General features: G+C 38.9%; 1 protein-coding gene across 26 annotated transcripts in view; it reads right to left on the minus strand.

Annotated features, from left to right (window-relative positions):
- The window catches only part of ACACA (acetyl-CoA carboxylase alpha), a 321,845-nt gene that overhangs the window by 164,076 nt on the left and 142,543 nt on the right, over positions 1-15,226 (minus strand). For all 26 annotated transcript variants that reach the window (XM_011524701.2, XM_006721853.2, NM_198834.3 and 23 more), the window contains 6 exons: positions 14,618-14,827; positions 10,293-10,463; positions 9,145-9,306; positions 8,636-8,799; positions 3,819-3,969; positions 2,938-3,041 (listed from right to left, as the gene is read on the minus strand). In XM_011524701.2, coding sequence (XP_011523003.1) covers positions 2,938-3,041; positions 3,819-3,969; positions 8,636-8,799; positions 9,145-9,306; positions 10,293-10,463; positions 14,618-14,827 — 962 coding nt within the window. The remainder of the gene's footprint in view (positions 1-2,937; positions 3,042-3,818; positions 3,970-8,635; positions 8,800-9,144; positions 9,307-10,292; positions 10,464-14,617; positions 14,828-15,226) is intronic.

Here is a 15,226-nt window from a genome sequence, read left to right on the forward strand (position 1 = left end):
TCTGACTACTCTTCATACTTCATATAAGTAAAACCATATAGTATTTGTCTTTTTGTGACAGGCTTAATTCACTTGCCCTAATGTCCTTAAGATCCACCTATGTTTTAGCATGTGTCAGAATTTCCTTCTTCTTTAAGGCTGAATAATACTGTATTGTATGTATATGCCACATTTTGTTTATCCAGTCATCCATCAACCAACATCTGAGTTGCTCCCATCTTTTAGCTACTGTGAATAATCCTCCTATGAATGTGGCTGTGCAAGTATCTTTCAGACCCTGCTTTCAATTCTTTCAGAATACCCAGAAGTGGTATTACCAGATCATAGGGTAATTCTATTTTTAATTTTTTCAGTAATTGCAATACCATTTTTCAATAGTGGCTGCATCATTTTACATTCCCATCAAGAGTGCACAAGTGTCCCAATTTCTCTACGTACTTGCCAATACTTGCTATTTTCTGTTTTTTGACAGTGGGCATCCTAATGGGTGTGAGGTGGTATCTCATCATGGTTTTGATTTTATTTACTTAATGATTAGTGATGTTGCGCATGTTTTCACATGTGGAACAAAACATACAGACATTAAAAAGATGTGAACTAAAAAACACTTTAAAAAATATACTGTTGAGTTAAAAAAGCAAGGTAAATAACAGCTTCACAGCATGCTACCATTTGAGTTTTAAAAAACCAGGAGGTGGGAAGAAACAAATATTGCATGTTGATATGGTTCGGCTGTGTTCCCACTCAAATCTCATCTTGAACTGTAGCTCCCATAATTCTCTTGTGGTGTGGGACGGACCCAGTGGGAGATACTTGAATCATGGGGGCGGTTCCCCCATACTGTTCTCATGGTAGTGAATAAGTCTCACGAGAGCTGATCATTTTATAAGGGGAAACCCCTTTCACTTGGCTCTCATTTTCTCTCTTGGCTGCCACCACGAAAGATGTGTCTTTGCTCTTCCTTTGCCTTCCGCCATGATTGTGAGGCCTCCCCAGCCATCTGGAACTGTGACTCAATTAAACTTCTTTCCTTTATAAATTAGCCAGTCTTGGGAATGTCTTTATTAGCAGTGTGAGAACAGACTAATACACATATATATGTTCATGTAAGTTTAGGGTATCTTTGGAAGGTTAGAAAAGAAATTGGTAATATGAATTTACTATAGGGGACGGAAACTGGATGGCCAAGGAACAGAGGTAAGAGAGAGACTTCTCACTGCTTATCTTTTTTGTGCCTTTTGAATTTTGAACCACATGAATGTGTTAACTGTTCTTAAAGATAAAGATTAAGGTTGGGCGCAGTGGCTCACGCCTCTAATTCCAGCTATTTGGGAGGCCAAAGCAGGCAGATCACGAGGTCAAGAGATCGAGACCATCCTGGCCAACATGTTGAAACTCCGTCTCTACTAAAAATACAAAAATGAGCTGGGCGTGGTGGTGCGTGCCTGTAGTCCCAGCTACTCATGTGGCTGAGGCAGGAGAATCCCTTGAACCCAGGAGGCGAAGGTTACAGTGAGCAGAGATCACGCCACTGCACTCCAGCCTGGTGACAGAGCAAGGCTCCATCTCAAAAAAAAAGATTAAGATTAAACGCGAAAAAATTATAAAACTTCAGTGTAAGCATATCTGCTCCTAGCAACTGAAACTTTATTTGAGAGTCTTTAAAAAGGCCGGGCAGCCGGGCACGGTGGCTCACGCCTGTAATCCCAGCACTTTGGGAGGCCAAGGCGGGTGGATCACAAGGTCAGGAGATTGAGACCATCCTGGCTAACACGGTGAAACCCTGTCTCTAATAAAAATACAAAAAAAATTAGCCGGGCCTGGTGGCAGGTGCCTGTAGTCCCAGCTACTCGAGAGGCTGAGGCAGGAGAATGGCGTGAACCCGAGAGGCGGACCTTGCAGCGAGCCGAGATTGCGCCACTGCACTCCAGCCTGGGCATCAGTGCGAGACTCTGTCTCAAAGATAAAAAAAATAAAAATAATAAAATAAGTAAAAAACAAAAGCATTTTAAAAGGAGGTGGGTGGGGGGCTTGTAGAGGAAAATGCATTTGACATATTTGTACACCAATAAGAAAACTATTTAACTAGGTTACAGATTATATGTTGCAGAACAGAAATAAATAAGACTGGATTGGTAAAAAGCGGCCCATGTATACAGGGAGTTGAAAGTCACGCCAAGGGATTTAGATTTGATACAGAAGAGAAATGCCAAGCTGCTGAAGGTTTTACTACATGAGAGTAACATAGTGAAAGATACTTATCATAGGACTTGAATAACTCTGAAATCTCAGTTCAATTTTTAAATTTTGTTTCTTTTCTTTCTTTCAGATACCTCAAAAGGGAGTTGATATAAGTCTAACAACACAGAAGGAAATAAAAGTGCCTGTGATTAAAGTGCTTTAAAATGATTAGCCACTTGGAACATTCCTCTGGGGACTCAAAGGCAGAGCTTAGTCTCCTCAATCAGCAATAGAAATTAGTTTAGCCCCATAGATGTCTGACCCTCTACTTGAAAGACTCATGAGGTCATCCTGAATATCAGCCTTAATTATTTACTTCTGAAAGGTGGTACAAGTAATACATGAAATATTTAGGGTTCAGTGCTAGGGAGAAATACCAGATTTTTATCACCAGGGTTTGGAGAGATTTGATACTTATACAGGACAGAATAACTACTGCAGATGGATTCCAGTTTTTAAAGAAGCAACCTGTTCTAACTGTGGTATAAGTTAATGTCTAGAATCTGCAGTTTGACTCCCCAAATAATTTGCCATAAATGTCAACATCCCCTCTTTCTTGCCACCATGGTCCATGAATAACAAGTAGCACTCATAAGCTGCCAGGAATGGACAGAAGAATAAATGGGTCTTTGAGCTTCAGTCCCTGTACTCAGGACCATTGATTAGTTTGTGTAGCCTACAAGAAACAAAGCCTACCTTTCTAAGGAGTGAAGGAAGTTAGAGACGCTATTCCGCAGGCTCACATCTGCCACGTGGAGGGCACCACACACAACCCCCAACATGGTGTCAGGTCGCTCAGCCTGAAAGGAGGAAAAAGAGGGCAGATCAAATGCATGGTCACTTGGCACCACAGCCTCTCAAATGAAATCAGGCTCAAATTTGTTGTGATGAAACAGCTAGCAATGAAAATCTCCATTCTCACTGCCCAACTGATTTTTTAGATAAAAATGAACACATTCACTTTTAGAATTTGATTAGAGGCACCACTTGAAGAGAAATGAAAAACAACTTTCTTCTTTTCTCCCTAAGACTTCCACTTAGCCAATCATTGAATAGCTCAAAAATAGGCTTCTGACAGAAATAAATTTAAAAAGACACAACGATTTGGCTACTGATAATCTCAAAGAAAAACGGTGTATAGCCAAAATTTGGACCTCCAAATTATATGAATCTAACGATTTTATACAAAATCTTGGATAATTTAGCATAGCCCCAGGAATTAAGGAATAAGTGATAACTCTTGATCTAAATGAGGCCTCTCTCTTCAGCATCTGGTAGATACAGAAGTTGGCAACTATGGACCAGGTTTAACATTAAATGAAGAAAAAGAAAGTAATTAAATCCCTGCATGCCTCACTTCAAATATACCTCAGGAAGTAATGCTAGAACATAAAATGACTGTGTGACACAAGCACAGGAACCATCAGAGTGCTAAAATTACACTGACTCCTAGATTTTTCCAGGTAGATCAAGAACCATTTACATTAGAATCAAATAAATTTCATGTAGTGACAGGGATTGAGTACACAAGTCTATAAAAACCCAATCCCAGCATCTGTTTGTGGAGAAATACACACCTGTACTTTTTCTGCTATCAGTCTGTCCAGCCAGCCAGTATCAATTCTGTTCATCTGAAAGCTTTCAGTCTCTAACAATTTGATCAGGTATTCAACTGTAGTTCGAAAGTCACCCCGAATAGACAGCTCCTTCAAAGCCACCACCATGTTTCTGGGAGAACAGAAGCCAATCTGTTTCAGCAACAAACACTTTAATGTTTTTCAATAATTTTAAAGATCTGTTTGGCCAGGCATGGTGGCTCACGCCTGTAATCCTAACACTTTGGGAGGCCAAGACAAGGCGGATCACGAAGTCAGGAGATTGAGACCATCCTGGCTAACACGGTGAGACCCTGTCTCTACTAAAAATACAAAAAATTAGCCAGGCGTGGTGGCGGGCGCCTGTAGTCCCAGCTACTCGGGAGGCTGAGGCAGGAGAATGGCGTGAACCCGGGAGGCGGAGCTTGCAGTGAGCAGAGATCACGCCACTGCACTCTAGCCTGGGCGACAGAGCGAGACTCTGTCCCCCCAAAAAAATAAAAATAAAAATAAAAGAAAGAACTGTTTCATTCCTTTGGAATCTTGAGAGGGAAGGGAGAGAGGCAGTTCCAAAAACAAATAAGGGTGCACATGTCAAGTGTGCTCATTCATGTGCATTCAAGAGAGGGAAATTTGCAAAAAGTCAGAAAACGTATGAATTCTAACTGATATTACCATAAGAGCATCAGCAAATCAGAAACATTTCATTATAATGAGTACAGAACAAATTATAACAAATTATATGCAAGTCACCCTCAGCTTTTACTTACTAAGTTTCCATTATTCCATTCATTTGTTGTTGGCTAACAAGAATTAGGGCATTAATTCTCCCTATCCTTGTACCTTATTTATTTTATGTATAATTTACATACAATAAAATATACTTATTTTAAGTATACAGTTCAATGAATTTTCCCAAGTGCTTAATTTAAAGATTTCCATACAGTAAAGCAACTCTCTGGGTGCAGTCATATATCAGCCTGACACTGCATGTGACAGTGTTTTTTTTAAAACTGCATTTTGGATATCTATGCAATGATTTGCTCATTACTTTTATTACTTCCCAGTTAAGTGCAAAGTGATCCAATTTTAGCAGAATTTCAAATACTATGGGGCTTTTCTGTATATTTATGCCCAGTGTCTATCCTGCACGGGACAGGTACTTACTTCCACAAATACTAATTATGTACCTCATACTAATAAGACACATACTATGATTGTAAGGAAGAAAGAACATAAATACAATAATCACTTTCAAAATATATGGCAGAATATCATCAATGCCAGACAGAATACTTACACAAAGTTCTGGAGAGGTTGTAAGAAGGGAGAAATTCATCTCCCTACAGTTTCATGAAAAATGTGGAAACTGACATGGGCTAAAGTATAGCTGATAATTATAACTGTGAGAGGAATCATATTCCAGGTAGTCCAGGCATTCCCTCAGCCTAAAATATTATTCTGTTGCCCACCTCTGTCCTCCTTTCTGTGTCCTCCTTTGACCTGACTTACTTCTACAAACTTCAATTATCAATCTAGATGTCACTGTCTTCTGGGATACCTTCCCAGAACCCCTCTAGACTGAGTTAGTTGACTCATCTGTATGATCCTATAATGCCCTTAAATAATCTGACTATCATCATACTTAATACATTGTATTTTAACTGCCAATTGTCTTACACCCTCTGGATTGTAAAGTTTTGTGAGGAGAGAGATTCTATCTTGGACCTCACTGTATTGCCAGAACCAGTAGATAGCAGATACTCAGTAAATATTTGTTGAATACAATGAATGAATGGGCCTGGCACAGTGGCTCACACCTGTTATCCCAGCACTTTGGGAGGCCGAGTTGGGCAGATCACTCGAGGTCAGGAATTCGAGACCAGCCTGGCCGACATGGTGAAACCCGTCTCTACTACAAATACAAAAACTAGCTGGGTGTGGTGGCGGGCACTCCATGTCAGAAAAAAAAAAAAAAGAATAAATGAATGAACAGAGGAAATAGCAAGAACAAAGAAGCAGAGGGAAGAAAATACAGGTTGACAAAATTAGCCAGGCATGGTGGCACGTGCCTGTAATCCCAGTTACTCAGGAAGCTGAGGCAGGAGAATCACTTGAACCCAGGAGGAAGAGGTTGCAGTGAGCTGAGATCGTGCCACTGCACTCCAGCTTGGGCGACAGAGCAAGACTCTGTCTCAAAAAAAAAAAAGGAAAATACAGCTTGAGTTCAGGGAATGGTATGATTGAAGCAGAGGTATAAGGATAGGAATGAGTGGCTAATCCATTCAACCAACGTTTACTGAATGCTTACTATGTTCAGGGGATATAGCAGTAACAAGACACAGTCCTGTTCTCATGGTATTTAGATTATGACCCATGGGAAATTATACTGGAATATACTGGAATATATGAGTTGGGGCATTCTGGCAAACAAGAGTCCAAACCCCAAGCTGAGATATAGACCTAATGAAATGAAGAAATAAGAAACAAAGAAAGCTCTAAGCTGAAGAATGAACTTTTGGCATAGTGTCAAGAAGGAGACTTATTGTAGATAACGTATTTTTAACATGCTAAAAATTAAGCTAGTTAGCTTTGTACTGTAGACAAATGTACAGAGCTGGTCAGAAATAAGGAACAAGGCTTCTGGATTGGGTTATAGGACATTCCCTGAAGAAAATACACAGTGGTCTGCCAAATCAGGACTTAAACCTAAATGCCAACAGAGGCCAGTCTGGGAACATAAATGAGTGAGGCAGACTGAATAGGAGCTGTGTTAACTACAAAGTTTATGTCCCGTCGAAAAGAAGCAGTCACACAAAACTAGCTGTTTTTTGTTTGTTTGTTTGTTTTTTGTTTTTTTGAGACGGAGTTTTGCTCTTGTTGCCCAGGCTGGAGTGCAATGGCGTGATCTTGGCTCACTGCAACCTCAGCCTCCTGGGTTCCAGTGATTCTCCTGCCTCAGCTTCCCGAGTAGCTGGGATTACAGGCAGTTGCCACCACACCTGGCTAATTTTTGTATTTTTAGCAGAGACGGGGTTTTACCATGTTGGCGAAGTTGGTCTCAAACTCCTGACCTTAAGTGATCTGCCAGCCTCGGTCTCCCAAAGTGCTGTGATTACAGGTGTGAGCCACCGTGCCCAGGCAAAATTAGCTAACTTTTAACAACTAGAATGTACAACCAATGTTGTCATTATAGTCCTACTTTTAAGAGCTAGCAGAAATCCATATTTTGATTTCAATCTCCTGATTTTTTAATATTGTCAAATTAAAAAAAATTAACACTTTGTGAGCCCATCAAAACACATCTGTATGTTGAGACTCACCAGAAAGCCAACAATTTGCAAGCTCTAGTGTAAACCTTTTTCACTTTGCAGAGCATAATATGGCAGCGAATATGCTTAAAAGGCAACTTCATACCAATGTTTTTTTCTGGTAGCAGTGTTTTAATTTTGAAAAATTCCACTTATAGTTTTGAAGAATGAGAAGAAATGTAAAGGACAAAATAGAGAAATAATGAGATTTCCCTACTTCTAAAAATAATATTAAAAACTAATTAATCAAGGCTGGGTGCAGCGGCTCATGCCTATAATACCAGCACTTTGTGGGGCCATTAGAGCCCAGGAGTTTAAGACTAGCCTGGGCAACAAAGGGAGACCCCATCTCTACAAAAAATTTAAAATTTGCTGGACATGATGGTGCACACCTGCAGTCCCAGCAATTCAAGAGGCTGAGGCAAAAGGATTGCTTGAGCCCAGGAGGTCGAGGTTTCAGTGAGCTATGATGGCACCACTGCATTCCAGCCTGGGTGACAGAGCAAGACTCTGCCTCTTAAAATTAATTAATTCAGGAAATTGATAAAAATATAAAACTAATCAATAAGTGTTTATTAATACAAACAACCATATATTAGGATTAATTACTAATAAACAAATGCTATTTATTAGTAATTAATACTAATAAACACTTATTAATTACCTACTCCATGTACAGTACAAAGGTAAAGGGAATGGTATTAAATGTTTGATACAAGGCAATAAACCATTAAAAAACAGAAAAGAACTAGTTCAAGTTTCAATTTTAGATAGATATTCCAAAAGATCTAAGCTGTTAAAATTACCTCCTTCAGCCCTATGTTTTAGGCAAGCAAAAGTGCTGTTAATTTAATATTCATTGTTTATGATTAACAGAATATTATCTAACATTTATGATATAGCAGTTATATTTGCATAAGCTGTTATATACAGCATGCTAAGGTCTCTTGTATTAGCAATGTAGACAGTTTCTTTATGTCCTTTTCATAATATGAGCAGTATAATTTTATTATTTTAAATAACTATAAGAGTACATCATGGTGACTATGGCTCATAACAATAGATTGTGTACTTGAAAATTGCTAATAGATTTTAAGTCTTCTCACAAGAAAAAAATAAAATAAAAGTCTATGATTTATTTGATACCTAGTTCTTGGCCAAGAATCTACCTCCCCTCAATAACAATACTGTTCCTGTGGAAAAATAAGATACCTTTAAAGCAATCAATTTTATACATTTATCAAAAATATTTGAAAGGAAAAATACTTCAAAAGGCTCAGAACAACAAACAGAAAAACATCTGCCAAGCACTGCATAATTTAATACAACATGAATGCAAGTGTAATTAAAGATATTCAAAATTTCTTCAAAAAGGTTGTTCATATTATTACTTTGACAGCAGATGATTCCTATTCCCATGCTCACACCTTCACTTAAGATTAGCACAAATTTATTTTGTAAAATGCAATCAAATGCTATTATACTCACGAAATTGCCTCTTCTCTGTTTTCTCCCCAAGAAAAGCAGTGACCAAACTGAGAATCAGCAAATTCATGAAGTCCCCCTGCAGCAGCAACACTGAAATATCCCCAAACATTCTTATTGCTGCGGAAATTTAGCTCCTGAACTGTTCCTGAGCTGGGCTTAAAACCCTGTTAGAGAATAAAGAATGAGAGACCATATTATGTTTCGAAGGAAGAGAAGATTTATATATTCATTGTTTAAGTTCTCTGTTAATCACACACAGAAGCAGAGAAGACACACAAAAATGATAAAGGCCAAGACCCAGTGCCACAGACCCACTGAAGACTCTACAGTGACTTAAGTGGGATTAAGTAACCAATGAAGCAACAACCATTTACTTATCTGCTCTGAGAAACCTCTATGTTTCCCACTCCAGAGGAAGTCCCAAGATATTTCAGAAGTATACTTTCAGATACTATCTTAACATTAAAGTTCATTAAAAGGAGGTATAAACCTTTTAAGTGATGGGTTACCTCATCTGGATTTTCACTAGTGATCCGAGCAGCAATAACATGGCCCCTTGGACAAGGAACGTGTGCAGAATCTTCAAAATCAATGGGAGAATCACCCCAGGGAGATACCCCATACATCATACGGATATCCTTGATTCTATATAGAGGAATCCCCATGGCAATCTGAAAGGTAATAAAACACACATCTTTAATTTTTCAGTTACTTCCCTTAAAGTGTAGAGGCTATCAGATAACCTAAAATATTTTTATTTTTGGAGCCACTCCCTAAAACATTCTATTTTTATAACCTGTATTCTACAATCATCAACTCTAAGTTGCTTGAAATACAATATATCACTACAGATAAGTAGTTAGAATATTCTCCACTTCTAAAGAAGTCCCCACATTCCTAATGCAACAGACACCAGTTCCCCTGTTGTCATTTCTCCATCACGTAATAAGAATGAAAATATCCAACAGAGGAGTAAATGTTAATAGCCATCCAAAAACAGACAGCTAGAAAGTCTTAATTGTGTCATAATTATCTCTTCCATCCCTGCAAACCACTGGAGGAAGTAAGTAAATCTTTAGTCTTTAATAGGAACCCAGAAGGTGTTCTCGATGTGGGCAAATGTTAGATAAAAATAATATCAAGCCTTATCATTAACTATTACTGCTTTCCATAATATTTGTTTCCTGGGCTGAGAGAAGACAATAATATTGACAGCAAGCACTTTACAAATTATAAAAATATATGTGTGCTACCACACTCTTGTAAGGAAAAACTTCAACCACTAATCTCTGATGCAGAATTATTTCAATAAAGAACACTAGTAAAAAAACAAAAATGAGTAGGGAATAATTATAATACAAAGTTGTGAAGTTTACTATAGCTAAATAATTGAATAAAGCATACATTATTAACATTTATTTCTAAAACATGACACATTATATCAGATGTGTCTGGCTAGAAAAAATAACATTCCTATGTCTGTACTACATCAGGAAAACCAAACCACACATGCATAACACATACAGGGTGAAAGAGAAATGACCATTAGGTGTGACTCAGATAGGAGGTGCTTTTCTCTTATCACACACTGGTTAAACCCATTTTTCAGGCCTCTCTGACTTTTCTAGGCTCTGCAACCCAGATCAGGGAGACTCACCTGGAGCTGTGCTGCAGGGAGATTGACATCAGCCACCATCTCTGTACAAGGGTGCTCTACCTGCAGCCGAGGATTCAATTCCAGAAAGTAGAAGCTGCCATCCTGGCTGTACAGGTATTCCACAGTCCCAGCACTCACATAACCCACCATTTTGGCAAGTTTCACCGCACACTCAAAGAAGAGAGATAAGCAAACATAAGTATCTCACCTTATCCAACTGCTAGACCACTACAGCCTCTCACTGACTCAACTGTTCAGTGTGTATAAGAGCCATCAAAAGCTTTTAGCCACATGAGAGCACATTTCTGATTATTATACAATATCCCTGGACAAGGATGAAAAACTCAATGAAAAATCGGGAGAAAAGAGCATTTTTCACTTTGCATCAAAAGCAACCTCACCCCACCAGACATAAATGCATGCAGACAAAAAAACATGGGGACAGACTCTTGTCCAGTTTCCAGTATTTCCAATATGCTCCTCTTCTTCCTAGAAACATAGCTAACTAGTTAGAGACTAGATTTTTTTTTTTTTTTTTGAGACAGAGTCTCACTCTGTCTCCTGGGCTGGAGTCCAGTGGCACAATCTCGTGGCTCACTGCAAACTCTGCCTCCCGGGTTCAAGTGATTCTCCTGCCTCAGCCCCCCAAGTAGCTGAGATTACAGGCATGCGCCACCATGCCTGGCTAATTTTTGTATTTTTGGTAGAGATGGGGTTTCCCCATGTTGGCCAGCCTGGTCTCAAACTCCTGACCTCAAGTGATCTACTCGCCTTGGCCTACCAAAGTGCTGGGATTACAGGCGTGAGCCACCATGCCTGGCCTGGTTAGTGGCTAAGTTTTGACAAACAGGACACCAGCATTGGTAAGTGATATGCATAACTCCCAAGTCATATATATATATATATATATATATATATATATATATATATATATATATTTTTTTTTTTTTTTTTTTTGGAGATGGAGTCTCGCTTTGTCACCCACCCAGGATGGAGCACAGTGGCGCAATCTCGGCTCACTGTAACCTCCGCCTCTCGGATTCAAGTGATTCTCCTACCTCAGCCTCCTGAGTAGCTGGGATCACAGGCACATGCCACCATGTCAGGCTAATTTTTATATCTTTAGTAGAGATGGGTTTTCATCATGTTGGCCAGGCTGGTCTCGAACTCTTGATCTCAGGTGATCCGCCCACCTCAGCCTCCTAAAGTGCTGGGATTATAGGCGTGAGCCACAGCACCCAGCCCTAAGTCATATTTTGAAAAGGAAATGTCTCATTCTCTATTCCTGGCTTTTTCCTTCTTATTCATTGGAACATAGTCATGATAGTATAAGCCAACTTCAATCATGCAAATGAGAACACACTAAGAACACCAAGAAAAGAAAGGAAAAGAAAAGAAAGAAAAAGAAAAGAAAGAATGAACCTGAATCCCAAGATGGTCTCGTGGAATAAAACACTTCCACCAGCCCTGAAAAGCTCACCTCAGACTAGGATGGGAGAGAAAAATAAACTTCTATTTTTGGGGGGGTCCGCTGTGTTTTTTGGACCTTTTTGTTATAGCAGTTTAACCTGTATCCTAATCGATACAGGAATTATTAAGTGCAGGTAGAATGTTGCTGTTTAAAAATATTAAAATATGAGATGCTAGCTTAGCAAAAGGGTAGTGGGTAGCAGAGAAACAGATACTGCAGGCTGGAAAGGTGATAATCTCCTTGTTGGGATAACACAACATTTGGTAAACTGTTTCCTACAATAACTTGGGATACTGACCACACACCAACTAAACCTTAAAAAAGATGGTCTGAAAGGGTCAGAGTGTCGAAAAAGCCAACTTCTTTTGTATCCCCCCAAACAGAAAATGAGATTATCACCCTGAAGCAACTCAGTGTCAAAGATCAAACGTGCTGCTTTAGTTTCAGCTGGCCCCAAGATAGCCAATATTAAATCAAGGCAAGAGAGATAGGCTAAGCACAGAAGCCAGTAAATAATAGAAGAAAAGTTTCTATATCTAGAAGAAATCTATGAGTATGATTAATCCAACCCAAAGCTGATTGCAAGCAAATAGCCCAGAAGCTTAGTTAAGTATTTGAAGGAATTGTATTTCTAAACAAACCACAAACCTGGCCTTCAAAAGCCTGCGACTGATGATTGGGATATTTGTGCCCTCAATCCTGCACCAGCAGGAAGTGGGTTGTGAAAGTTCTGCCAAAGAAGGCATAGTCTCCAAAGCCCAACTCACAGAGAAAACTGAATGAGGAAGAACTTCCCAGAAAACAATGTCAGGTGTCTTGAAGGACAATGAACAAGGGATTTACTCCCTTATTGCACTTCTCTGGAGTGTGCAGTAGCAGAACCAGGGACAGCCAGGTCTAACTGAGGTAGTATTCTATTATATAGCAGGGAATCATTGCAATTCCTACCTAAAAAGGAGGATTTGATAACTGCTATGGACCAACGATTGCTATGTATTTTTCATTTTTCCAAATGAGAGTTATCCTGTTCCTATTCCATCATTGTATATGGGTGTATGGTGAAGGCAGGGGATATAATACTGGGTAAATAACTTGTATTTTGAGTCACTGGCCCATGAAAAGCCACAATACATATCTAATGGAGAAGAATATACATCATATAGAGATCCGGAATCACCTCCAGTAATAACCCATCCAGTTACTAGTAACTGGATGGGGCTTCAGGTTGTCTTCCTTGGACAAAGGCTATGTGTGCTCTGAAAGTAGGAAAAAGGATAAAGGGATAATAGGTAGCCAGAGGAACAGACTGAGGCACAGATTATGAAATGCCCTCCAGTGACTTTTCTCTACTTCATCATTTTAGGAATAAAATCGAAATTTTTGCTGAGCACATGGTCACCCAGTTAGTGATCACAATTCCTAACATCCTTTGTGCTAGGTATAATTGTGTAACTGAATTTTGTCCAGTGGAATGTGAGCAGAAGTGATGTATGTGACTTCAAGATCATGCTTCCATATGCTTGCCCTCCACATCCCCTGTCTCTTCCTCCCACAGGCCACAATGTGAACATAATCTTGTGTGAGTTAGCTTAATCATGAAGATGACAATGTCCAAGAGCAAAGTTTGGCAAACTTTTTTGGTAAAGAGCCAGATAGTAATTATTTTCAATTTTGTGGGCCATATAGCCTCTGTCACAACTATTCAATTCTACCATTGTAGTGATAAAGCAGCCATAAATAACACATAAATAAATAAGCATCATTGTGTTCCAACAAAATTTTATTTACAAAAACAGGCAACAGGTGAGCAATAAACCTGTTTCTGGTAACAGCTCATCTCTGAACTATGATGAAAGAGAAATAGAAACTTACACCTTGTTTAAGCCACCGTATTTTGCTTATTTATTTATTTGTTTTGAGATGGGGTCTTGCTCTGTCACCCAGGTTGGAGTGCAGTAGCATGATCAAGGCTCACTGCAGCTTTGACCTCCCAGTGTCAAGTGATCCTCCCACCTCAGCCTCCCAAGCAGCTGAGAGTACAGACGTGTGCCATGACACTCAGCTAATTTTTGTATTTTTAGTAGAGATAGGGTTTCACCATATTGCCCAGGCCGGTCTCGAATTCCAGGGCTCAAGTGATCTGTCCGCCTTAGCCTCCCAAAGTGCTAGGATTACAGGCAAGAGCCACCATGCCCGGCCAAGCCACTGTATTTTGAAGGCATCTTTATTACAGCAGTTCAAGAGTACATCCTAATATATACACAACATAGGAAATAGACCTCTAACACACATGAAATATATTTTGAAGAATCTATTTTGATGTAGAGACTGGGTTAGGACTCCAGAAAAGACTATGTTCAGGCCTCTAAACTATAGTTATTCCGAAGGCATCGCTCATGACTTTGAGAAACTACTTTCTATACAAAAAGATAGAATGTGTGAACTCTGAAGATATTTAGAGGACTTTCCAAAAACGATAATAGAGTTGATTAAATTCAGCTGAAGACTTGATGATACTCAACCCAGCAAATAAAACTACCTGATTATGAGCCTCTTAAAAAAATCAATCATAAGATTAAAAATTCCAAAACATTTCTCTTCTTTATCCCTGTATCCTGAAATGGTACGCTGATTTTTTTTAGAAAGCGTTAACTACTTTTAGAAGCTTGACATGTTCCTTGACAATTCTCTTAGTGGGAGAACAGTAGAATTTTTTTTCTCTAAGAAAAGGATATAATTTTATTAATTATTCAGAATCGTTGCTTAAAATGCCATTGTTCTCAGATTGGTACATGAACTGAATGAAAAATGTTCTATGTAAGAAAACATAAAGTAAGCCTTTTAATATATGTACCTGTTCCATGTGTTCAAATACTGCTGGAGTAGCAATAGTAGCAGGTGCTTCTTCAATAATCTTCTGATGCCTGCGTTGTACAGAGCAATCACGACCAAACAAAGAGATAGCATTGCCATATTGGTCCGCTAAGATCTGCACCTCCAGATGACGAGATTGTTTGGCTAGTCTCATCACAAATATGGGAGATCCAGGAACTTCAGCTTGAACCTGTATTAGAAAAGGGGGAAAAAAAAAACCAATTCTTAAATTTTAAACTTTTTATCTATCTTGATAAGCTACTTTGATTTCAACAAGCAGATGTCCAGAAGTGTCAGGAACCATGTTAATCAGCAGAAATACAAAACTGAATAAAATACAGTCCATGCTGTCATCTTTAATATCTTTAAGATGCTGCATTCTTACATAACCAATATTAATTGATAAATATGAAAACATACGAACATCTGGTGCATCACAAAGGTAAACAACAAAATATTTGAAAACATAGGCACATACACAAATCCAACAACAGGGCAAAATACTGCCATCCTGTACTCTGTACAACCAAATGTACAACTTGTTCCAGACAAGATACTTTCCTGGTTCACATTACATCATATATGGTAT

This window comes from Homo sapiens, chromosome 17 (assembly GCF_000001405.40).
Source record: "Homo sapiens chromosome 17, GRCh38.p14 Primary Assembly".
Taxonomy (NCBI): Eukaryota; Metazoa; Chordata; class Mammalia; order Primates; family Hominidae; genus Homo; species Homo sapiens.